This window comes from Homo sapiens, chromosome 5 (genome assembly GCF_000001405.40).
Source record: "Homo sapiens chromosome 5, GRCh38.p14 Primary Assembly".
Taxonomy (NCBI): Eukaryota; Metazoa; Chordata; class Mammalia; order Primates; family Hominidae; genus Homo; species Homo sapiens.
In genome coordinates this window covers 51,937,691-51,964,393 of record NC_000005.10, presented here as the reverse complement: position 1 = coordinate 51,964,393, position 26,703 = coordinate 51,937,691, and the positions used below count along the sequence as shown (strand labels likewise).

The window sequence follows — 26,703 nt, the reverse complement described above, 5'->3', positions numbered from 1 at the left end:
GTAATCCAGGACTAATCTGTTGTCTGAGTCATCAGGATCCTTATCTTGCTGCTTCGCCATTCTTAGTATGTCACCTCATGGTACAAAATGGTGCCTCAAAATTGAGCCATCACATCTACTAGTAGACAGTAGGAAAAATGAGGGTAAAAAGTAGGCATATCCATTTTCCTCTGAGAATTCTGGGAATCACAAAACACTTGTGATGTTATCTCCTTGGCCATTATTTAGCTACATGGCATGTGCAGTTGTGTAAAGGAATGATTTTGACAGTCTGAAGAAACAGAAAATTAGCATGTAACTGGCAGATCTATCTCTTTTAAATGAAAGCTATCTTTAGAGAATAGATTCTAACAAATCTGTGGTTATTCTATTATTTTGAAAGAGGAATTCCTATGCTTTACAAATTATATTATATGCGAAGCTCAGACTTCATATTAAATCACAGTTTCACAACTTAATATATGGCTTGAGAGTCAAGTAAGTTTGTTTTTGTAACCTGTAAAATTGAGGCAATTATTCCAATGTATAGGCACTCTTAGATTAAGTGAAAATACATAGAGGTATAGGAGGTGAAGGTGCCAATTATGCAATGTTACAATACAGTATGGTTGCTGCATTCACTTACTAAGGAGTATGGGTCATCAGGTTGCCCTACTGAGTGAAGAATACTATTTTTCAGCATTTGGACAAATATATAATTAAACTCACAGATTACTGCAATATGTAACATGAATAGGAAAAAAAACTAAAGAGAAGGTGTTTTTAATCCATCACTTTGTCCATTATTTTCCTAATACTGTAGGAAAATGAAATGGAATTCCAGTAGACTTGAGTATCAAAAGTATCACTACATAAATTAACAAAATAATCTATTCAATAAGGCCACTTAAGACAGCTAATTTAAATATTAAAGAATATCTCTTAAGAGTAATGAATTATGGTAAATGGATACTCTGTTGATTCTCATTCTCAATTTCCATATGGATTGCTTAACCAACTATTTCAACTGCGACTTAAGGTTGCTTGCTCTTGTCTGTATGTAGTTCTGTTAACACTGAGAAGGCCTAAATTTCCTATTTGCTAGTGCTGGTAGGTATTTGCCTAATTCCTTATTAGATGGTACATATTTTGTTCACTGAGGTTAAAATGAAATTAGGGGGAGATCATTAAGACAGAGCTCCATTTTCTTTATGTGAAATATTTACATCAACTGTTTCATTCCTCAACAATCGTTTCTCTGATTTTAGCTGTAGTATCAGGAAATAGTCTTTAAAAATGTATTAATGAACTGAAAATTATATCAGGCTTTGCGATTCAGATTTCAGATACTTCCTGTAAGTTGAATCAAATCTGACAAGAGGTTTATGAATGCTACAAATACATATGCCACCATGTAAGTATTCATTATTCTCAATTAATTGCTGTATAAGATGAAATAATGTACAGCTAACAATCAGAATTAGAGCCACGTTACACCAAACTTGGTTCTTTCTCACACAAAATATGAAATTAAATGATCTAATATGGTGATTGATTTTAGAAGAAAGGTAATATGTTTTGAGGGGATTTACAGAGGACTAATTGATCATATATATTTTGAATTAATATGTGTGTAAATTGATAGTATTTCTGTTGAATAATATATATACACATATATAGTTGTGCATATATATCTATATATGTATATGTATTTATATATGTGTATATGCATATACACATATATCTTATAGACATCTATATATGTACTTGTGTACTACATGTGTTCTCATTTCAAGAACAATAGCAATAGCAAATTCTTTTGTAACAAAAGCAAAGAGAAATTTTAGGAAATGTACACCTATTCTTGTTTCATTCAATTCTTTTTCTCAATTTATGCTTGTGTATAAGACATCTGGAAATTAAAGACCTATAGATAAAAGAAAGTAAACATTAAAACTAATGCAAATTCAGGCCAGGCATAGTGGCTCATGTCTGCAATTTTGGCACTTTGGGAGGCCAAAGTGGGTGGCTGGCTTGAGCCTAGGAGTTTGAAACCAACCTGGACAACATGATGAAATCCCATCTCTACAAAAGATATAAAAATTAGCCAGGCATGGTGGTGCACACCTGTAGTCCCAGCTACTAGGGAGGCTGAGGTGGGACAATCACCAGAACCTGGGTAGTTGAGTTTGCAGTGAACTGAAATCACACCACTGCACTCCAGCCCGGACAACACAGTGAGACTGTCTAAAAAAATAATCATCATCATCATGCAAATTCAATAACAAAAGAACTGTTCACTTTGTAATATAAAATGAGTTTCTGTAAGTATGTAGAGGAATATCTTGCTTAAGATTGATAAATCTATGAAGATCATATTTTAAACCCACAGATTTTGACTAAAAATATCAAGTAATTATGAAAAAATTAGAATAAAACATCAAGTTCATTTTTACCATGTTTTTAATTATGACTTGTCTTTGTTACATTGGACATAACACAAACTATGATCACTGAAAATTCATACATTTCCTGATTGTATTTTGTTAATAATCTGTTTCCTAATGATAATAATTTTGAGAGTTTCAAATACCGGTTTTATAGAAAATCCCTTTTTGAAAGGGAAAAAAAATCGGAATTATAAATAATTGAGCCCATTATTGTCTGCACGTGGGCCGGCGAGTAGGAGAAAGTGGAGTAGTTAGCCTTAATTATCTGGATAATTTATTTCTGTCAACCCAGCCTTGGTGCCCTTTCCTTTCAAAACTGAAAAGTTATATTAGAAATTATAGTTCGTCTTAAAGGAACTATAACATTAGAGATGACATTTCAGCACATTTGTGGATAAGTTATTTTCACTATGTCACCTTTTCCTGTGATAGTTGTGCAGTGTTCCTATCCTAGGCTAGAGATTGAAAGAGTAGATGACAGGAGGGTCAGGGGACTCTTCTCTCTCCCTTGGAGGCTCCTACCATTGCCGTCTGCAATCAGATTGTTAGCATGTCAGCTCAGTCTGTCAGAATCCCCTTAGTGCTGCTCAGCCAGCTGAGAGAAAATACCTTGTGTATTGGCTGTGGATGTCCCTTAAGAACACCCAGTCACTCAGTCATGCAGCCTAAATAGGGCAGCAGACAGCACCTTCACACCAGTGTACGATAACTGAGCTTTCCATCGATGTGTCTTGACCTTATAAGAAGCGCTGTAAAGGGCCAGGGTGAAGAGCCCAGAAAGGCTTGATTGCTACTAACCTTCTCTTGTCTGTTAAAAATGGCAGCTTCTTTTACTCAAGTCACTCAGAAACAAATGTAATAAAACAATCTTTACTCAGAAAACCAATAAGGCATTTCTTTTATGCAGTGATGAAACACAACCACTAGATGACACCAAGAGATAGTTTGTATGTCTGATTAATATCCTGTACTCAGTTGTCTGTTCAAAGGTGACATTCTTGCTAAGATTTTCACTGAGATCACAGATGCAGGCCAATTAAGTGATCTAAGTTTTTAAAGTTGTCTTGCTTTGATATTATCAATTACCATCTAATCAAGAAGACAAAGTCAAACGAAACAAAATAAAACACAAAGCAAAAAGCAGATGTGGGGTCATTTGGACACTCAGACTTAAACATTTCCACTTCTGTTTCTTGTTGTCTGTACCATTAATAAGATACTCCAAGTGAGTCATTACTGTAATTTAGAAAAGTTCTGCCAAAAACCTCTATCATAAATCCTTCTTAGGCGCTTGAAATTCAATTGTAATATTCTCTCCACACTACATTTATAAGCCAAGCCCCAGCAATATACTAATACATTTTACATAGTTGTAAACAATTGGCATGCTTATGCATCTCTGTCAGAAAGAGAAAAACTATAAAGACTAATAAGATTCAACTTTCAAACGATTATCTGTATTTCCTTCAAAAAATAACCAGTGTTTCATCTCAGATTTTGTATGCTGATAGTTCTTTGCAAATTAACATAATTTGTATTTGGAGATCAGTCTTAAACTTTAAAACATTAGCTTTTGTATATAGTAGAATACTTTTATAATAGCAGGATATCTATACAATAAGAGTTGCATGCAAATTTCAAAATCTACTGCCTGACCAGTAAAATTCTTCAGAAGTCCAAGAGATGGCATAAAGAAATAGTTAATATTAAATACGTAATTCTAATAACTGCTGCTTGCAACTTCTTGGTAAAGTTTCTATGTGCAGCTTTGAAAATATAATGGATTTCATTATTTTAACAATTTCCATATGGTAAATACAATTGCATTTTTTCAAAAAATATATTTACTATTAGAAAAATTGTATATTGATTAAATAATGGGAAAACTCAATGCTCTTGGTCATAAAAGCAACATTTGAGGCATATGATTATCTGTAAAAGTAAAATGTGTGGAAATTAACAGAACACAAGATCATACTCATGTATTAAATATTAAGTTAGTAAATCACATGTACATCCATTAATTACAAATGTCAAATGACAAGAAAAAACAAATACAACTTCAATCTGAAATAACTATTTTTTTGAAAACCACAACATTCTGCTCTGATTATTTAGGACATCCCTTCTGTTTCCTTTGTGGTTTGTGGAACATTACATATGTGATTTTCCTGAGTTTTATGGGATTTTCTGAAATTATGGCAAGATTTTCTAATGTAAATAACACTTGTATCTTGGAGTCAATATACAAAGGCATATTTCACATTAATTCGTTAAAAAGTCTTAGTTAATTGGCATAAGAAATATGCATATCTATACAGACCGCATCTTTTTTTTTTTCTTGTTTTGTCAAGTGAAAAACTTAGGATGGATCCACTAAAAAAACGTGGTTTGTTTCCAATGGTAAAATGTAACTTTATTATAAATTATGTGTGCCTATTTTTCATAAGAATTCCTCTGAAATTCCATAAGACTGTAGAAAATTAGCCATTCAGAAATATTTTACTTTTAGGATAAATTTATGATTTTAAAAAATTAGCCATTTTGTTTTATTGAAATATATAGGTGGGAGGAAGGTCTTACAGTTTTATACCAATCACTTATTCTCCCTGAGGTTCCATTGAGTTACTTCTTCTCTGTTGAATTAACTGTATTAACTTTGCACTTCAGAGAAAAATATGGATTTCAAGTCTATAAAATGAAACACACACACACACACACACACACAAACACATGCCTTATTCTGAAATACCATGCAGAGCACTACAGTTTTGTAATGCCATGATGTGTTAACTCTTCCTTTGTGTTGAAGTCCTGGATCAGTAGGTGTTATCTTTGAAATTCCATTAATAGAAGTTATATAGAGACATGGCAATGGAAAGAAAAGTAGCCCTGAAATATTGTAATGCACAGTTGAAATGAGTGTATTAAAGATAAAATATCAAGTTTAATTAGATATTTTTGGCTTGTTTTGCATCTTTTGTTTTTTTATGTCCTAAACTTTGCAGTCATTTAAGCAGAGATATTTTGTCATTTGATTATATTTATGGAGAAGCTTCGATTACTAACCATCTGAGTTTTAGACAGAGACCTCACAAAGCGGCTTAAAATAATTTGGCTGTCTAATTTATTTTTCTTCCTTTTTTTGATAGAGATATTTTCTTTATTTTTCCCTCCATTTACAGGTGCAGAATTAAAGAACATGTTCACTCACTATATTATTGATGCACTTAAGTGGAGTGTTCCAAAGCATGTAATTACCATGTAGGCTTATGGCCCTGAAGTAGCCCAGGATAGTGGTGCTGCATATCCATGATTTGAAGGACATACAGTGATGATTATAGAGGCAGTACTCTACATCCATTCTGGCCCTTTTGTGTTTAGCTGGTTGTCATGGCAAATAATTGGATAGAATTTAAGCCACTTTCTTCCAAGTGGGAAATTCATAATTTTACCCTTCACCTAATTTTGTAGATACTTTTAAAGAATCTTAAAGTTTCTACATGAATGACGTAGAGCAGTGTGGGAAAAATTTTCACTTTCAGCAGGCACATCAGAAATTAAACTTCCGCTTAGGGGGTAAATAAATCAATTTCCATTTTCATTAAATGGCTTCATTTTCCTATAACTAAGCCACAGACTTTGTGTTTCTTCACTAAAACAAGGCCAATGTGGTTTACTTTGACAGCTTCCGAGAGAAATGGAAAAACAGAGTAAAATATTGAAATCTTATTAAATTTTAGCGAAAATGACATTTTGCCTAGAGTCCTGTCGGCAAAAGCTTAAAACCTTTTCAAAACACAGCTGAGGGAGGAAACTGTAACTAGAAATGGTTTATGCTAACAGCATAATAGGGTTTGTCATAGGGAGGATATTAATTGACCCAAAGGATATGTAAGTCATGTAATAATGATACATTTCATAATTAATTTCTGTTTTAGTTGTATAATATTGAAAGATAAATCTTTTATAATATATCCTCCTTTTATTTGTAAAATACAGTTATAAAACCTTCAAAAATTTAGAATTGATGGATTTTAGTCATTATTCAGCCCAGTTATTCTCTGAGAGGTATCATTCAGCCAAATTTTATTTTATTTTATTTTATTTTATTTTATTTTATTTTATTTATTATGCTTTAAGTTTTAGGGTACCTGTGCACAACGTGCAGGTTTGTTACATATGTATACATGTGCCATGTTGGTGTGCTGCACCCATTAACTCATCATTTAGCATTAGGTATATCTCCTAATGCTATCCCTCCCCCCTTCCCCCACCCCACAACAGACCCCAGTGTGTGATGTTCCCCTTCCTGTGTCCATGTGTTCTCATTGTTCAATTCCCATCTATGAGTGAGAACATGCGGTGTTTGGAATACTTTCCATGGTGTATATGTGCCACATTTTCTTAATCCAGTCTATCATTGGTGGACATTTGGGTTGGTTCCAAGTCTTTGCTATTGTGAATAGTGCTGCAATAAACATACGTGTGCATGTGTCTTTATAGCAGCATGATCTATAATCCTTTGGGTATATACCCAGTAATGGGATGGCTGGGTCAAATGGTATTTCTAGTTCTAGATCCCTGAGGAATTGCCACACTGACTTCCACAATGGTTGAACTAGTTGACAGTCCCACCAACAGTGTAAAATTTTTCCTATTTCTCCACATCCTCTCCAGCACCTCTTGTTTCCTGACTTTTTAATGATCACCATTCTAACTGGTGTGAGATGGTATCTCATTGTGGTTTTGATTTGCATTTTTCTGATGGCCAGTGATGATGAGCATTTTTTCATGTGTTTTTTGGCTGCATAAATGTCTCTTTTGAGAAGTGTCTGTTCATATCCTTCACCCACTTTTTGATGGGTTTGTTTGTATTTTTCTTGTAAATTTGTTTGAGTTCATTGTGGATTCTGGATATTAGCCCTTTGTCAGATGAGTAGGTTGCAAAACTTTTCTCCCATTCTGTAGGTTGCCTGTTCACTCTGATGGTGGTTTCTTTTGCTGTGCAGAAGCTGTTTAGTTTAATTAGATCCCATTTGTCAATTTTGGCTTTTGTTGCCATTGCTTTTGGTGTTTTAGACATGAAGTCATTGCCCATGCCTATGTCCTGAATGGTATTGCCTAGGTTTTCTTCCAGGGTTTTTATGGTTTTAGGTCTAACATGTAAGTCTTTAATCCATGTTGAATTAATTTTTGTATAAGGTGTAAGGAAGGGATCCAGTTGCAGCTTTCTACCTATGGCTAGCCAGTTTTCCCAGCACCATTTATTAAATAGGGAATCCTTTCCCCATTTCTTGTTTTTGTCAGGTTTGTCAAAGATCAGATAGTTGTAGATATGCAGCGTTATTTCTGAGGGCTCTGTTCTGTTCCATTGGTCTATATCTCTGTTTTGGTACCAGTACCATGCTGTTTTGGTTACTGTAGCCTTGTAGTATAGTTTGAAGTCAGGTAGCATGATGCCTCCAGCTTTGTTCTTTTGGCTTAGGATTGACTTGGCGATGCGGGCTCTTTTTTGGTTCCATATGAACTTTAAAGTAGTTTTTTCCAGTTCTGTGAAGAAAGTCATTGGTAGCTTGATGGGGATGGCATTGAATCTATAAATTACCTTGGGCGGTATGGCCATTTTCACAATATTGATTCTTCCTACCCATGAGCATGCAATGTTCTTACATTTGTTTATATCCTCTTTAATTTCATTGAGCAGTGGTTTGTAGTTCTCCTTGAACAGGTGCTTCACATCTCTTGTAAGTTGGATTCCTAGGTATTTTATTCTCTTTGAAGCAATTGTGAATGGGAGTTCACTCATGATTTGGCTCTGTCTGTTATTGGGGTATAGAATGCTTGTGATTTTTGTACATTGATTTTGTATCCTGAGACTTTGCTGCAGTTGCCTGTCAGCTTAAGGAGATTTTGGTCTGAGACGGTGGGTTTTTCTAGATATACAATCATGTCATCTGCAAACAGGGACAATTTGACTTCCTCTTTATCCAATTGAATGCCCTTTATTTCCTTCTCCTGCCTGATTACCCTGGCCAGAACTTCCAACACTATGTTGAATAGGAGTGATGAGAGAGGGCATCCCTGTCTTGTGCCAGTTTTCAAAGGGAATGCTTCCAGGTTTGTCCATTCAGTATGGTATTGGCTGTGGGTTTGTCATAGATAGCTCTTATTATTTTGAGATACGTCCCATGAATACGTAATTTATTGAGAGTTTTTAGCATGAAGGGTTGTGAATTTTGTCAAAGGCCTTTTCTGCATCTATTGAGATAATCATGTGGTTTTTGTCTTTGGTTCTGTTTATATGCTGGATTATGTTTATTGATTTGCATATGTTGAACCAGCCTTGCATCCCAGGGATGAAGCCCACTTGATCATGGTGGATAAGCTTTTTGATGTGCTGCTGGATTCGGTTTGCCAGTATTTTATTGAGAATTTTTGCATCGATGTTCATCAAGGATATTGGTCTATAATTCTCTTTTTTTGTTGTGTCTCTGCCAGGCTTTGGTATCAGGATGATGCTGGCCTCATAAAATGAGTAAGGGAGGATTCCCTCTTTTTCTATTGATTGGAGTAGTTTCAGAAGGCGTGGTACCAGCTCCTCCTTGTACCTCTGGTAGAATTCGGCTGTGAATCCATCTGGTCCTGGACTTTTTTTGGTTGGTAAGCTATTAATTATTGCCTCAATTTCAGAGCTTGTTATTGGTCTATTGAGATATTCAAATTCTTCCTGGTTTAGTCTTGGGTGAGTGTATGTGTCGAGGAATTTATCCATTTCTTCTAGATTTTCTAGTTTATTTGCGTAGAGGTGTTTATAGTATTCTCTGATGGTAGTTTGTATTTCTGTGGGATTGGTGGTAATATCCCCTTTGTCATTTCTTATTGTGTCTATTTGATTCTTCTCTCTTTTCTTCTTTATTATTAGTCTTGCCAGTGGTCTATCAATTTTGTTGATAGACCTGGCTCCTTGATTCATTGATTTTTTCAAGGGTTTTTTCAACCCTTCAAAAAAAAAAACCAGCTCTTGGATTCATTGATTTTTTGAAGCATTTTTTTGTGTCTCTATTGCCTTCAGTTCTGCTCTGATCTTAGTTATTTCTTGCCTTCTGCTAGCTTTTGAATGTGTTCACTCTTGCTTCTCTAGTTCTTTTAATTGTGATGTTAGAGTGTCCATTTTAGATCTTTCCTGCTTTCTCTTGTGGGCATTTAGTGTTATCAATTTCCCTCTACACACTACTTTAAATGTGTCCCAGAGATTCTGGTATGTTGTGTCTTTGTTCTTGTTGGTTTCAAAGAACATCTTTATTTCTGCCTTCATTTCATTATTTACCCAGTAGTCATTCAGGAGCAGGTTGTTCAGTTTCCATGTAGTTGAGTGGTTTTGAGTGAGTTTCTTAATCCTGAGTTCTTGTTTGATTGCACTGTGGTCTGAGAGACAGTTTGTTATAATTTCTATTCTTTTACATTTGCTGAGGAGTGCTTTACTTCCAACTATGTGGTCAATTTTGGAACAGGTGTGGTGTGGTGCTGAAAAGAATGTATATCCTGTTGATTTGGGGTGGAGAGTTCTGTAGATGTCTTTTAGGTCTGCTTGGTGCAAAGCTGAGTTCAATTCCTAGATATCCTTGTTAACTTTCTGTCTCGTTGATCTGTCTAATGTTGAGAGTGGGGTGTTAAAGTCTCCCATTATTATTGTGTGGGAGTATAAGTCACTTTTTAGGTCACTAAGTACTTGCTTTATGAATCTGGGTGCTCCTGTATTGGGTGCATATATATTTAGGATAGTTAGCTCTTCTTGTTGAATTGATCCTTTTACTGTTATGTAATGGCCTTCTTTATCTCTTTTGATCTTTGTTGGTTTAAAATCTGTTTTATCAGAGACTAGGATTGAAACCCCTGCCTTTTTTTGTTTTCCATTTGCTTGGTTGATCTTCCTCCATCCCTTCATTTTTAGCCTATGTGTGTCTCTGCACGTGAGATGGTTTTCCTGAATACAGCACACTGATGGGTCTTGACTCTTTATCCAGTTTGCCAGTCTGTGTCTTTTAATTAGAGCATTTAGCCCATTTACATTTAAGGTTAGTATTGTTATGTGTGAATTTGATCCTGTCATTATGATGTTAGCTGGTTATTTTGCTCGTTAGTTGGTGCAGCTTCTTCCTAGCCTCGATGGTCTTTACAATTTGGCATGTTTTTGCAGTGGCTGATACTGGTTGTTCCTTTCCATGTTTAGTGCTTCCTTCAGGAGCTCTTGTAGGGCAGGCCTGGTGGTGACAAAATCTCTCGGCGTTTGCTTGTCTATAAAGTATTTCATTTCTCCTTCACTTTTGAAGCTTAGTTTGGATGGATATGAAATTCTGGCTTGAAAATTCTTTTCTTTAAGAATGTTGAATATTGGCCCCCACTCTCTTCTGGCTTGTAGAGTTTCTGCTGAGAGATCCGCTGTTAGTCTGATGGGTTTCCCTTTGCGGGTAACTCGACCTTTCTGTCTGGCTGCTCTTAACATTTTTTCCTTCATTTCAACTTCGGTGAATCTGCCAATTATGTGTCTTGGAGTTGCTCTTCTCGAGGAGTATCTTTGTGGTGTTCTCTGTATTTCCTGAATTTGAATGTTGGCCTGCCCTGCTAGACTGTGGAAGTTCTCCTGGATAATATCCTGCAGAGTGTTTTCCAACTTGGTTCCATTCTCCCCGTCACTTTGAGGTACACCAATTAGATGTAGATTTGGTCTTTTCACATAGTCCCATATTTCTTGGAGGCTTTGTTCATTTCTTTTTATTCTGTTTTCCCTAAACTTCTCTTCACACTTCATTTCATTCATTTTGTGTTCCATCGCTGATACCCTTTCTTCCAGTTGATTGCCTCAGTTACTGAGGCTTGTGCATTCATCATGTAGTTCTCATGCTGTGGTTTTCAGCTCCATCAGGTCCTTTAAGGACTTCTCTGCATTGATTATTCTAGTTATCCATTTGTCTAATTTTTTTTCAAGTTTTTTAACTTCTTTGCCATGGGTTCGAACTTCCTCCTTTAGCTCGGAGTAGTTTGATCTTCTGAAGTCTTCTTCTCTCAGTTCGTCAAAGTCATTCTCTGTCCAGCTTTGTTCCGTTGTTGGTGAGGAGGTGTGTTCCTTTGGAGGAGGAGAGGCACTCTGATTTTTAGAGTTTCCAGTTTTTCTGCTCTGTTTTTTCCCCATCTTTGTGGTTTTATCTACCTTTGGTCTTTGATGATGGTGACGTACAGATGGCTTTTTGGTGTGGATGCTCTTTCCATTTTTTAGTTTCCTTCTAACAGTCAGGACCCTCATCTGCAGGTCTGTTGGAGTTTACTGTAGGTCCACTCCCGACCCTGTTTGCCTGGATATCAGCAGCGGTGGCTGCAGAATAGCAGATATTGGTGAACTGCAAATGCTGCTGCCTGATCCTTCCTCTGGAAGTTTTGTCTCAGAGGATTACCTGGCCGTGTGAGGTGTCAGTCCGCCCCTACTGGGGGGTGCCTCCTAGTTAGGCTACTCGGTGGTCAGGGACCCACTTGAGGAGTCAGTCTGCCCATTCTCAGATCTCAAGCTGCATGCTGGGAGAACCACTACTCTCATCAAAGCTGTCAGACAGGGACATTTAGGTCTGCAGAGGTTATTGCTGTCTTCTGTTTGTTTGTGCCCTGCCCCCAGAGGTGGAGCCTACAGAGAGAGGCAGGCCTCCTTGAGCTGCGGTGGGCCCCACCCAGTTAAATCTTCCTGGCCGCTTTGTTTACCTACTCAAGCCTAAGCAATAGCGAGTGCCCCTCCCCCAGCCTCGCTGCTGCCTTGCAGTTTGATCTCAGACTGCTGTGCTAGCAATGAGTGAGGCTCCGTGGGCGTAGGACCCTCCAAGCCAGGTGCAGGATATAATCTCCTGGTGTGCCATTTGTTAAGCCCAATGGGAAAGTGCAGTATTAGGGTGGGAGTGACCCGATTATCCAGGTGCCATCTGTCATCCCTTTTCTTTGACTAGGAAAGAGAATTCCCTGACCCCTTGCACTTCCCGGGTAAGGCGATACCTCACCCTGCTTTGGCTCACACACGGTGTACTGCACCCACTGTCCTGCACCCACTGTCCCGCACTCCCCAGTGAGGTGAACCCGGTACCTCAGTTGGAAATGCAGAAATCACCCACCTTCTGCATTGCTCACACTGGGAGCTGTGGACTGGAGCTCTTCCTATGTGGCTATCTTGGCTCCACCCCCCACCCCAAATTTTATTTAATGAACACCCTTTGAATACCAGTTCTCTGTTAACAATTGAGAACAATGAGATAAACAATCTTTGAAATGAATAAACAAAATAGTCTTGCCTTCAAGAAGCTTGCATTCTAGAGATATCAAGATATGGAAGATTATGGCCAAGACAATTGTAGCCATTTAATACAGACCAGAATCCAAGTTCATATTTCCAAAATTGTCATTCTTTGAACAAAAGGCCCCTGTGTCAAGGTTCCCTGATGTTTAATTACAGTGTTGCATAATCCCTTTTACATTTATCAGGACCTGGATGCTAAATCACATAGTGGAGCGCACAAGGTAGAAATTGTATGGAATCCTCAGGGATGTGATATGCTCCTCTAAGATTAGAATTCTTGTTCATGCCCAGAATCACTTACTTCTGGGTAAAGGTAAGGAAAATTTTCATAAAGAATTGGGAAAACATATAAACAGTGGAGAGAAGGCATAAAAGTTAAAAAAGGGAGACAAAAATGGAAACAAAAAGCAGATGATCTTGACAGCAATACTTAGGATACCTACTGTTTGTATCTACAAATTTGAATTAAAGTTTTGACTTACTCCATGTCTGACAGCCCACAATATTGAAAGAAATTATAAAATCATTCATCAGGAAAATACTAATATGATGTAGTACAATTTGTGAATGTCTAAGCTCAATCATGCTGTGACATGTGGAAAAAGAAACAGAATAACACCATTCAAGATACAACTAAAATTAGATCCCAGAGGTCCTGTTACAGCCTAAGAGTAATACCAGGTCATTGCTACAAAAAGTTTTATTGTACAGTCACTGAAAGATATATTTACTCTGCAAATCCTAATAAGAACAGACATCATTGTATACCTAGTGTAGTGTGGCAAAGTAGAAAAAAAGTTCTTGCAAGCTAGGAAATCTCTTTTTCCACCAATATGCTAGTTATTTTTCACTCATTGGAAAACCAAGTGTTCTTTATTTTCTACTTAGCCTTTTGAGTTTCTATTTGCCCTGACTTAAGTATTGTGATGAAAACAAAGGTAGCATATCAGATATGGGCTCTTTGAGATCCGTTAAATAAAAGCAAAGTACAATCCACTATCACAGTGTTAAACTTAAATATTATAAGAAAGGACATAACTATGAAAAACTAACAAAGAAACACAGCAAAGAAAAAAATGTCTTTGGAAAGACACATAAAACTTATGTCCAACAAGGAGAAACAAAAAAACTATTCAAAATTTTAAGTCTTTTCTTTGCAAAGGTCTATAAATGACCACAAAGTGAGCTAAAATATTATTATTATTGCCCAACTGAACTTATGCAAGTATCATATTATTCTAGTTTGCTGGTATGGAAGACATTTTTCCTAGGACAATTGAAGGTTAAGTGTAAAAACTAAAATGTATAGGTTTTGATAGTAACTGAATCGCATGCCAAAGAAGCTACACTGTAGTTCATCAACGCAGAAAAAAAAATTGTTTAGCATGAATTTTAAAACACTGGCATCTTTTTACTATAACATGTATCTAACTTCATTATTCTTACTGATGGGTAATGTCTGTTTACATAACTTTTGGTCTCATTTGCCATTTGGGATCTTCAGTAATGGAATATGTTTCTCTTAGAGATTTACCCCAAATACATATTTTTAAATTATCATTATGTTATTGCTTTATAAGTATGTATTCAGGATTTTAAAGATCATCTTGCCAGAACATAAAGGAAATAAAAGCTGGATGGATCAGAAACCAGAAAAACGAACTACATTTGCTGCAAAACAGTGGCAGTAGGGCAAAGGTTTATGTTCATTTTTAAATAAAGAATTTTTATTTCATACATAATTTTTAGTTTATATAAGAAAATATTCAAAGCTTACTCATAATTTCTCACCCCCTAGCTGTGAAAAACCCTATGTAGGATTTGCTAAATCAGAGCTTTAGTAAACTTGAAGCTTCACTTCAAGTTGAAGTATTGAATTGGTGAAATATTGAAAAGTTGATGTTTTATAGTTTTAAATCTTACATTTGTATCTCATCCATTTTGAATTAACAATGTAACATGAGTTCAGACCTCCCTGAATCCCCTTCATTTAGATGCTCCATGTAAACTACTTTAAGTAAAATCAAGAAAATGAAAGAGTTTGACATAGGAGAGTAGGAAATATGAATAACGTTGTTTGGTGCATATAGACATCAACTTTTACATGGCATGCATGGTGGAAAAATAATTTATAGAAATATTTTAACAACAAAATATTTTTCCCTCAGGTACTACTATCATCATTATCATTACTATTATTATTTCATAAATGGAATTGGCAAATACAGACCATGAAGCAAATATAGCTCATGGACTGTTTTAAGTTTTTTTAAACTTAGGATATAATTTATGCACTATAAAATTCACACTTTAAAAGTACACCATTCAGTGATTTTTAGTATATTCACAATGTGGTGCAACTATCAAGATTATTCCAAAACATTTGTATTACTCCAAAAAGAAATGCCATATCTATTAGCTATTACTCCCCATTACCCTTTCACCTCATACCCAGATAACCACTGATCTACTTTCTGTTTATATGAATTTGCCTATTCTGCACATTTCATATAAATGCAGTCACACAATGTGGCCTTGGTGCCTGGTTTCTTACACTTACTATGCATGTATCAGTAATTCATTCCCTTTTATGGCTGGATAATATTCCACTGTATACCTACACCACATTTTAATTTTTATTCATCAGTTGATGGGCAGTTGGGTTGTTTTTACTTTTTGGTTATTATTAGTAATGCTGCTATGAACAAATGGCCTTATACACATTGTTGTGTGAATATTGTTGTCAGGTCTCCTGCGTATATCTCTAGGAGTGGAATTGCTGGGTATATTTAACTTTTTTAGAAATTATGCAGCCATAAAAAATGATGAGTTCATGTCCTTTGTAGGGACATGGATGAAATTGGAAATCATCATTCTCAGTAAACTATCACAAGAACAAAAAACCAAACACCGCATATTCTCATTCATAGGTGGGAATTGAACAATGAGAACACATGGACACAGGAAGGGGAACATCACACTCTGGGGACTGTTGTGGGGTGGGGGGAGTGGGGAGGGATAGCATTGGGAGATATACCTAATGCTAGATGACGAGTTAGTGGGTGCAGCACACCAGCATGCAACTAACCTGCACATTGTGCACATGTACCCTAAAACTTAAAGTATAATAATAAAAAAATAAAAAAAAGAAATTGTCAAAGTATTTTCCAAAGTATCTGTACCATTTTACATTCTCATTAGCAATCTATGAGAATTTCAATTTCCTCACATCCTCACCAATACTTTTATAGTTCATCTTTTTGATTATAGCAATCTTAGTGGGTATGAAGTTGTATCTCATCAGGGTTTTGATTTGCATTTTCCTGATCCATCTTCTTATATGCTTATTGGATATTTATATATCATCTGTGCAAAAAATCTACATAAATCTTTGTCCATTTTTAAACTGAGCCATTTTATTGTTGAGTTGTAAGAGCATTTTATGCATTATTGATAATAGTCTGTTATCAAATACATGATTTTAAATATTGTCTTCCATTCTTAGGATTATCTTTTCACTTTTTCAAGCTATCTTTTTCAAAAAGATAGCTTCTGAATCTTCAAGATATCTTTTGAAAAGATATCAAACAATATCTTTTCAAGGTATCGTTTGAAACAGAAATATTTAATTTTGATAAAGTTCAATTCATCTTTTCTTTTTTGCCTTGGTTACTTTTATTTTAGCTGTCATATTTTTAAAATCATTGTCTAAATCCAAGGTCATGATGATTAACACATTTGTTTTCTTCTTAGAGTTTTGTAGTTTTAGCTCTTACATTTAGATTTCATTCATTTTGAATTAACTTTGTGTATGGTATGAAGTAGCGGGGCCAGATTAATTCTCTTGCTTGTGAACATCCAGTTGTCTCAGCATCATTTGTTGAAAAAAGTATGCTTTCCATAGTAAATTGTTTTTGCACCATATTAAAAATTTATTGACAGTAAACATAAGGGTTTTTTTTTTCAGGAATCCCAATTCAATTCCACTAATCTACATGTCTATCTTAATGCTTTTGTATTATGTTTAGAAATGGAGAATTGTGAATTCTAACTTTACTTTTCTTTCTCAAAGTTATTTTGGCTATTCTGGGTCCCTTCCATTTCCATATAAATTTTAGGATCTGCTTGTAAATTTCTAAAGAAATACAGCTGGGATTTTGATAGGGAATACATTATGTATATAGATTAACTTGAGGAGTTTTACTCCTTAAGTAATAAAATCTATTAATCCTTGTGCTAGGGATGCAATTCCATTTACTCAGGTCTTCTTTAACTTCCTTCAACTATGCTTTGTCATTTTCAGTGTATAACTTATTCACTTCATTTGTTAAATTATTCCTAAGCACTTTTATTTTTAAAACTATTTTAAAACAAATTATTGTCTTTATTTCATTTTTAGATTGTTCATTTCTGATCTATAAATATACAATCAATTTTTGCATATGGACCTTGAATCCTGAAAATTTTATGAGCTTGTTTACTAGCACCTACAGTCTGCTGTTGATTTCTTAGGATTTTCTGTACACAAATAATATTGTCTACAAGTAGAGAGAGTTTTATATTTTTCACATTCCAATTCATATGCCTTTTTTCATCAAATGTCCTTTATAAAACCTCTAGCACAATGTGGAATAGAAGTAATAACAGTGGATATTCTTGTCTATTTCCTGATCTTAAGTAAAATACTTTGAGTCTTCCACCATTAAATATGATGTTAGCTCTGAATTTTTTTGTAGACATGTTTATCAGATTGAGGAAGTTCCCATGTATTCATGGTTTGTTGAATATTTTATCATGAAAGGGTGTTGGATTTGTCAAGTGATTATTCTGCATCTTTTGAGAAAATAGTGAAGGTTTTGACCTTTATTCTTTAACATGGTACGTGAGGTATTACACTGATTGATTTTTAGTATGTTGAACCAATCTTATATTGCTGTAATTAATTGTACTTGGTTATGTTGTATGGTACTTTTCCTATATTGCTGGATTGAGTTTACCAGTATATTGTTGAAGAAATTTGCATGTATATTCATAAGAGTAACTGGTCTATAGTTTTCTTTTATTGTGATATCTTTGTCAAGATTTGGTTGCAGGATAATAAAGCCTTTATATATTGAGTGAGGAAGTATTCATACCCTTCTATTTTTTGGAAGAGTTTATGAAGGGTTGGTTTTAGCACTTCTTTAAATATTTGGTAGAATTCACCAGAGAAGTCATATTGTTTTGGGATTTTTCTTTATGTGAAGTTTTTATACCAAAATCCCATCTCTTTATTTGCTATCGGCCTATTCAGATCTTCTGTTTCTTCTTAAGTCAATTTTGGTAGTGTACATCTTTGTATAATTTTTTTCTATTTCATCTGATTTATTTGACTAATTTTCTAGTAAGTAGTTTTTCATAGTATTTCTTTATAATCCTTTTTATTTGTGTAAGGTTAGTAGTACTATCTCTTCTTTCAGTTTGGCTTTTAATAATTTGAACCTTCTGATTTTTTTCTTGATTATTCTAGCAAAAGTTTTATCAATTTTGTTGATCATTTCAAGTAACCAACTTTGGGTTTTGTTGCTTTTCTTTATTGTTTTTCTCTTCTCTTATTTACTTGTTTCTGCTGTAATCATGATTAAGTACTTACTTGTGCTTATGCAAGTTTATATTAGTCCATTCTCACACTGCTCTGAAGAAATAGCCAAGAATGGGTAATTTAAAAAAAAAGTAGGTTTAATTGACTCACATTTCCACATAGCTGGGGAGGCCTCAGGAAATTTACAGTCATGGCAGAAGGCAAAGGAGAAGCAGGCATCTTCTTCAGAGATTGGTAGGATGGAGGGAATGCAAACAAGGGAAATGCCAGATGCTTACAAAACCATCATATTTTGTGAGACTCACTCACTATCATGAGACCAGCAGGGAGGAAGCCACTCCCATCATCCAGTTACCTCTACCTGGTCCTGCCCTTGACATGTGGGGATTACTGGGAATATTGGGATTACAATTCAAGATGAGATTTTTGGTGGGGACACAACTAAGCCATATCATTCTATGCCTGGCCCCTCCCAAATCTCATATCCTCACATTTTAAAACACAATTATGCACTTCCATCAGTCCCCCAGAGTCAACTCATTGCAGCATTTACCAAAAAGGCCAAGGCCAAATTCTCATCTGAGACTAGTCAAGTCCCTTCCACCTATGAGCCTGTAAAATCAAAAGCAGGTTAGTTACTTCCTAGATACAATGGGGGTCCAGGCATTGCATAAATACACCCATTCCAAATGGGAGAAATTGGCCAAAACAAAAAAAAATGGGAATACAGGCCCCGTGCAAGTCTAAAATCCAACAGGGCAGTCATTAAACCTTGAAGTTCCAAAATGATCTCCTTTGACTCCATGTCATCCAGGTCATGCTGATGCAAGATGTGAGTTCCCACAGCATGGGCAGCTCCACCCCTGTGGCTTTGCAGGGTACAGCCAACCTCCCACCTGCTTTCACAGGTTGGGATTGAGTGTCTGTGGTTTTCCCTGGTGCATGGTGCAAGCTGTCAGTGGATCTACCATTCTGAGATCTGGAGGACAGTGGCCTTCTTCTTACAGTTCCACTAAGCAGTGTCACAGTGTGGACTCTGTGTGGGGGCTAAAATTCCACATTTCACTTCTGAACTGCCCTAACAGAGGTTCGCCATGAGGGCTTTGCCTCTGTAGCAGCCTTCTGCCTGGACATCCAGGCATTTCCATACATCCTCTGATCTAGCCTGAGGTTCCCAAACCTAAATTCTTGGCTTCTGTGCACACACAGGATCAAGACCATGTGGAACCCACCAAGGCTTGGGACGTACATACTCTGAAGAAATGGCCTGAGTTGTACCTTGGCTCCTTTTAACCATGGCTGGAGATGAAGCAGCTGGGATACAGGACACCATGTCCCAAGGCTGCAGAGAGCAGGGGTGCCCTGGACCTAGCCCATGAAACCATTTTTTCCTCCTAGGCCTCCAGGCCTGTGATGGGAGAGGCTGCCTTGAAGATCTCTGACATGCCCTGGAGATATTTTCTCCATTGTCTTGGTGACTAACATTCGACTCCTCATTATACAAATTTCTGCAGTGGGCTTGAATTTCTCCCCAAAAAGTGGGTTTTTCTTTTTCTACCGCATCATCAGGTGCAAATTTTCCAAACTTTTGTGTGCCGATTACTCTCAAACGCTTTGCTGCTTAGAAATTTCTTCCACCAGATACCCTAAATCTTCTCTCTCAAGTTCAAAGTTCCACAGATCTCTAAGTCAGGGGCACAATGGCACCAGTCTCCTTGCAAAAGCATAGCAAGAGTGACCTTTACTCCAGTTCCCAACAAGTTCCACATCTCCATATGAGACCACCTCAGCCTAGACTTTATTGTCCATATCACTATCTGCATTTTGGTCAAAGCCATTCAACAAGTCTCTAGGAAGTTCCAAACTTTCCTACATTTTCCTGTCTTCTTCGGAGCCCTCCAAGCTGATTGAACCTCTACCTGTTACCAGTTCCAAAGTTGCTTCCACATTTTCAGGTTTCTTTATAATAGCACACCACTTGGTAACAACTTGTTGTATTAGTGTGTTCTCACACTGCTATGAAGAAATACCTGAGACAGGGTAATTTATAAAGAAAAGAGGTTGAACTGACTCACAATTCCACATGGCTAGAGAGGCCTCAGGAAACTTATAATCATGGCAGAAGGCAAAGGAGAAGCAGGCATCTTCTTCAGAGGGATGCAGGACAGAGTGAGTGTAAGCAGGGGAAATGCCAGATGCTTATAAGATCATCAGATCTTGTGAGACTCACCCACTATCACAAGAACAGCATGGGAGAAACTACTCCCATGATCTAATTACCTCCACCTGGTCCCACCCTTGACACATGGGAATTATTGGGATTATGGGGATTACAATTCAAGATGAGATGTTGGGTGGGGACACAGCCAAACCATATCAAGGCTTTAGTTTGCTCAATTGTTTTCTGATTTTTTAAGGTAAAATGCTAGTTCATTGATATGAGGTTTTTTCTTTTTTAATTATATATCATTATAGATATAAATTTCCCTCAAGGCAATTTTTTAGATTATATTCCATAAGATATGATATGATAGGTTTTTGTTTCACTTATCTCAATGTATTTTTAATTCATCTATGATTTTTTTCTTTGAATTGTTGGCTATTTAAGAGTTTTAATTTTTACATATTTGTGAATTTCCCAATTTTCATCTACTATTGATTACTAATTTAATCCCATTGTAATCAGAAAACATATTTTATATGATACTTACTCTTTTAAATTGCCAAGCTTATTTTTTTAACTAAACTTGGCCTATCTGTGTAAATGTTTCATGTGTACTTGGGAAGAATGCATATCCTGCTGTTTTTGGGTGGATTGTTCTATAAATGTCTGGGAGGTGTAGTTGGCTGGTAGTACTGTTTAAGTTTTCTGTGTAGTGTTAATCATCTGCCTTTTTCTATCCAATATTGGAAGTGGAGTACTGAAGTCTCCCATTGTTATTGTTAAATATTCTAAGTCTCCCTTGATTCTGAAAATTTTTTCTTTCATGTATTTTGGGGATCTGTTGTCAGATGCATATATGTTTATAATTTTTGTAAGTGTTTGATGGTTTAGCCCATTCATTATTACAAAATATCCTTATTTACTAATAACAATTTTCACTTTAAAGCCTATTTTCTATAGCCACTCTAGCTCTCTTTTTAGTTATTTTTGTTTACTATTTGCAGAATATATTTTTTCTCATCCTTTTACTTTAGGTTTACTTACGTCTTTGAATCTAAATTGTCTCTTTTAGACAGTATATAGTTAGTTTTTTTAAAAAAAAAACTTCGGCCAATTTCTAGCTTTCAATTGTAATAATGAATCCATTTTCATTTAATGTAATTGCTCATAAAATTGGATTTACCTGTTATTTCTGTTTTCTGTATGTCTTATTTTTTTTTGTTCCTTGATTCTATTGCTGCCTTTTTGTGTGTGTGTTAAATAATTTTTCTACTTTCTAAAGCTTTATTATAGTTTTCATTATATGTCTTAGTTGTTTCTTTGTGCTTGCCCTGGTAAATATAATTTGTATTTTAACTTAGAACAATCTAGTTCAGACTAATACCAGTTTAACTTCAATAAAGTATAAAAACATTATATACTGTTTTATAGTGTCAGCCCTCCTTTAGTCTAGTTGTCATACATTATATCTTTATATATTTTGTGCCAATAAACATAAACTTTTAATTATTGCTTTCTAAAGTTGTCTTTTAAATCAGAAGGGAATGTTACAAAAAATAAATATATTTATACTATCTTTTGTGTAACTGATGTAGTTAACTGATGTTCTTCAATTCTTCAAATAGGTTCAAGTTATTGTCTAATGTTCTTCCATTTCACCTGAAGGATAGGATTTTCTTTAATATGTCTATTTGATAACAGCATATTTTATGTGTTTTTAAAGCTAATTATGTTAAAAATTATTTAAATTTTTTTTGGAGGATAGTTTTGTCAATATAGAATTCTTTGCTGATAGCTTTTTAATTTTCTAGCACTTTGAATATGTCATCCTACTGCCTTCTGGCTATAATGTTTCTGATGATAAATCAATTGTTGATCTTACTGAGGATTTTTTATAAGTTATGAGTCCCTTCTGTCTTGCAACTTTCAAATTAGTCTTTTTGCTTGGCTTTTAACCATTTTATTATGACATATCTAGGTGTGGATCTCTTGGAATCTAGTGAGATTTTTTAGATGTGTAGATTAATGTCTTGTATCAAACTTAGAAAGATTTAAGCAATTATTTCTTCAAATATTTTCTGATCTTTCTCTTTCATGTTCTTTGAGTTTAACATTATGTTTATGTAGATATGTTTGATGGTATTTCCTAGTCCCTGAGACAATATTCATTTTCATTTTCTTTTGGAATCATAATACATAGAGTTCCCATGCCACAGAGTGCCAGAAATGTCTCTTTCCCACCCTCTAATCATTTTACTCACTCATATGATTTTATTTCAACTTTACCCCTTGGTAGGGGCCTGTAAGTTATGATTCAGACTGGTAAAGATATAAGCCAGGTGCAAAGTAAGCATTTACCTTAATATATTTTTGGTTTTATTTTTATTTTATTTATTGGTAGGAGAGTTGAGGCAAGAAGCTGTAATTTGAACCAGCCAGAATCCAAGCTTGGCCCAGTATCAGTATCCACTTCAATTTTTTCCCTTTCTTTAATTTTAGCTATTACAGATATCAATAACCAAGAAATTGTAGATTTAGTTTATTTCTTACTACTTTGCATGCCATTATGCATTCAAACTCTTCAAGAGTTTGATCCATTATTCCTTAACTCTATTGGTAACTTTTGCTTTCATTAATTGATCACAACACATCTGCAGCTCCATACTATTGGTAACCCCATGACCATCGAAAAATCATTTATCCTCTTACCACTTATTCATTCTTTTTTCAAACCACATGTTTCAGTGAGTCAGGGTCATTCTTGGAAACATCCACTCCACTCCTGGTACCAGCTACCTAGAGTTAGACAAACTTCAAAGTTTGAGGGCATTGCCAGGTCTATTCAAGATGTCTGACACAAACTGTAGGTTTGGGAAATTTCTAAAACCACCCTAAGTTTTGATGATTTGCTAGAAGCCTTCACAAAACCCATTAAAAGTTATTTTAGCCATGATTTTACTTTAGTATCAGGAAAAAATACAAATTAAAATCAACCAAAGAAAGAGTTGTTCAGGGCAAAGCCTGGAAGGGTTCTAAATATGAAGATTCTGTTGTACTCAAGACACATTGTCTTTCCAGAACTAATATATGACAATATACATGTAGTGCTGCCAACAAGAGAAGCTCACCAGAGATACAGTATTTGGAGATTTGGGGGGGGGGGATTAATTACATATGTATGATTGAGTGATTATCCACATGATTGAATTCAATATTGAAGTCAACAGATTATCATATGACCCAAAGACACCCCCCAACTTCTTAATCACATGGTTAGTGTTTCTGGCCTCGTCATTTCATGTCCTAAAACTTACGTGTTGCAAGCCTCAACCCATCCTAATATCTGGTATGGCCAACCCTTGGTCTAAACAAACCCTCCTTTGATGACAGAAGTGTATGATGTTGATTACTTCCCAGAATGTGAGGCAAAGGCCAGATCACTTTCTGACCAACAACAAATTCTTTATGACATGTTCTAAACAGATAAGTAAATTACAATTATCTGGAAATGAGGTTTGGATTATCATCAGAACAACCTGAGGCACAGTTCCCTTCACTAAAGCAATGATAATGATTAGAAAATTCAAGGATTTTTTCCCATATAGGCTTTGTTATGCAACAAACACCTGAAAACTTTGTGATTTAAAACACCAATTATTTTTTATCTCATGAATCTGTGAGCCTGCCTACCAGGTTCATGCCATTCTCCTGCCTCAGCCTTCCGAGTAGCTGGGACTGCAGGCACCTGCCACCATGCCCAGCTAATTTTTTGTATTTTTAGTAGAGAGAGGTTTTCACCGTGTTAGCCAGGATGGTCTCGATCTCCTGACCTCGTGATCCGCCTGCCTCGGCCTCCCAAAGTGCTGGGATTACAGGCATGAGTGCTGTGCCCGGCCAGTGGTCATTTGAGGAATACATTATTCTGGTCATACAGCATTAGCTGCTGCTTTTTCTCCAAAGTGAGAAATGATTGAGAGGACTTGAATGGAAATCCATTGTCCTGTGACATCTCATCAGCTCCAGAGAAAATTGGGCACTTTATGTAAAGCAAGTGTTTTAAATTCTTAACTGATACTCTGAAGTTTCACGGTTAGGGTCCAGGCATTTGGTATTTAGAAGCTCCATACAGGTTTTGATGAGCAACCAGGCTTGAATAACACTGTTCTAAGAAACACAAGTTAAAAGGAAAAACATATAAGACTTCTTGAGGGCAATGTCTTTTCACTCCATTTTATCTTTTCTATCACCATGTGAGAATGATGCTTATCTTCAGTTTAATGATGTGTGTCTTCAGTTTATAAAAGAGGAAACTGTACCTACAAAAGTTTAGAAAACATGCCCAAATACACACAGGGAGGACGTGGCCAGATAGGGATTCTACCTCATATCAATCATGCTCCAAACAGCTTATTTATTATACCATGCTGCCTCCTAAGAAAAAGGGACATTTTGGGAAATTCATTATTATGAACCATCAACCCTACAAATTTACTCATAAATTTTTGTGAGTAAATAAAAGAGACTGCAAATATAAGAGAATCTAATAATCATTTCTTATTTGGTGAAAGCGAGAAATGAATATTTGATTCTCTTTTATTTAGTCTGAATTCTATACTCTTCCTTCACAAGCACAAACAAAGTGATAAGATATTAGTCTTGTACCACACTGGCTGAACTCTCTCAAAATATCAAAACTGTACCAAGTGTTGAAAGGGGACAGTAGGTGGCAAACCCACTGCTTCAGTTTTAAAGGGTTGGCAATGAGCAATTTTCCTGTTTCTTATTGAAATTCATGAAGCAGAAGAAACATCATGGTAGTTAAGTACATGCACTCTGGAGCAGTCTGCCTGATTTGGATTCCTGGCTCTCCTACTTCCTGTCTAAGTGATGTGGAGCAAGCTTCTAAACTCTGTGGACCTTAGTTTAACCGTATATATGATGGGAATGGTGATAATAATAGCACCTATTTCAAGGCATTAAGTTCATGTTTGTAACGGATATTTAACAATATCTGGCTCATGGTCTGGAGGCCATTATTCTTAGCAAACTAACACAGGAACAGAAAACCAATTTCCACATGTTCTCACTTACAAGTGGGAGCTAAATGATGAGAACACATGGACACATAGAAGAAACTACACACACTGGGGCCTTTTAGAGGATGGAGGGTGAAAGTAGGGAGAGGATCAAGAAAAACAACTAATGGGTACCAGGCTTAATATCTGTGTGATGAAATAATCTATACAATGACACAAGTTTATCTATGTAACAAACCTGCACTTGCGCCCTTGAACATAAAAGTATTTTAAGTCTATTTTTTTTAAAGTAATGGCATGCCAAAATGAAGTTATAAAATTGTGGTATACATTTAGCAAAATTATGCTTTAAACATTTACAACACATTTATTTATTCACAAGACAAAGGATTTATTTAAAAAGTCATAGTGCTGGGGGGTCTAGTAATGGGATACAAATTTGAATGAACAGCGCCTTCATTTTTCAGTCATGTCATTGTATTTCTAACTATGTATGTATAATTAATTTGGAGATTATAGTCTAAATGAGAATCTTTCTGAGTGTGAAGCCTGTATTAGTTTCCCATTCCTACTATAACAAATTGCCACAAACTTAGTAGCCTAAAACAACTTGAGTATATTATCTTACAGTTCTGCATATCAGAAGTCTGAAAGCAGGATGGTAGAGCAATATTTTTTCTGGAAGCTTTAAGAGGCTTTTGCCTGTTTGACTTTTCCAGCTTCTAGACGTTGCCTGCATTTCCATTCCTTCCTGCACTCTGACCGCTGCTTCCATCCTCATACCTCATTCTCTAACTCTGACCTCTCTCTTACAAGGACCCTTGTGATTACATAGGACCCACCTAGGTAATTCAGGCTACTCTCCCCCATCTCAAAATCTTTAACTTAACCGCATCTGAAAGCCTCTTTAGCATTGTAAGGTAACATAGGTTTTAGGGATAAGAACATGAGCATCTTTAGAGAGCTATCATTCTGCCTACCACGGAAGCCCAAAACAAAAACCACTGCAAGAACGTTTCTGCTCTGCACTTTCTGCATCATAATTCAGTTGGGGTTTATCTTTTTTCTAAACTTTTCAGCTGATATCCTAGAATGGTTATTACCAGTGGGTCCCAGAGGATTTCATCCCAGAGGATTTCACTTTCCAGGGTATGTACTTT

General features: G+C 35.8%; 1 long non-coding RNA gene across 1 annotated transcript; it reads left to right on the top strand.

The window, feature by feature from the left end:
* LOC105378959 (uncharacterized) lies at positions 1-26,703 on the top strand. The gene is made up of 3 exons (XR_948315.2): positions 1-65; positions 1,319-1,393; positions 26,623-26,703. It is a non-coding gene; the product is annotated as an uncharacterized LOC105378959 (long non-coding RNA).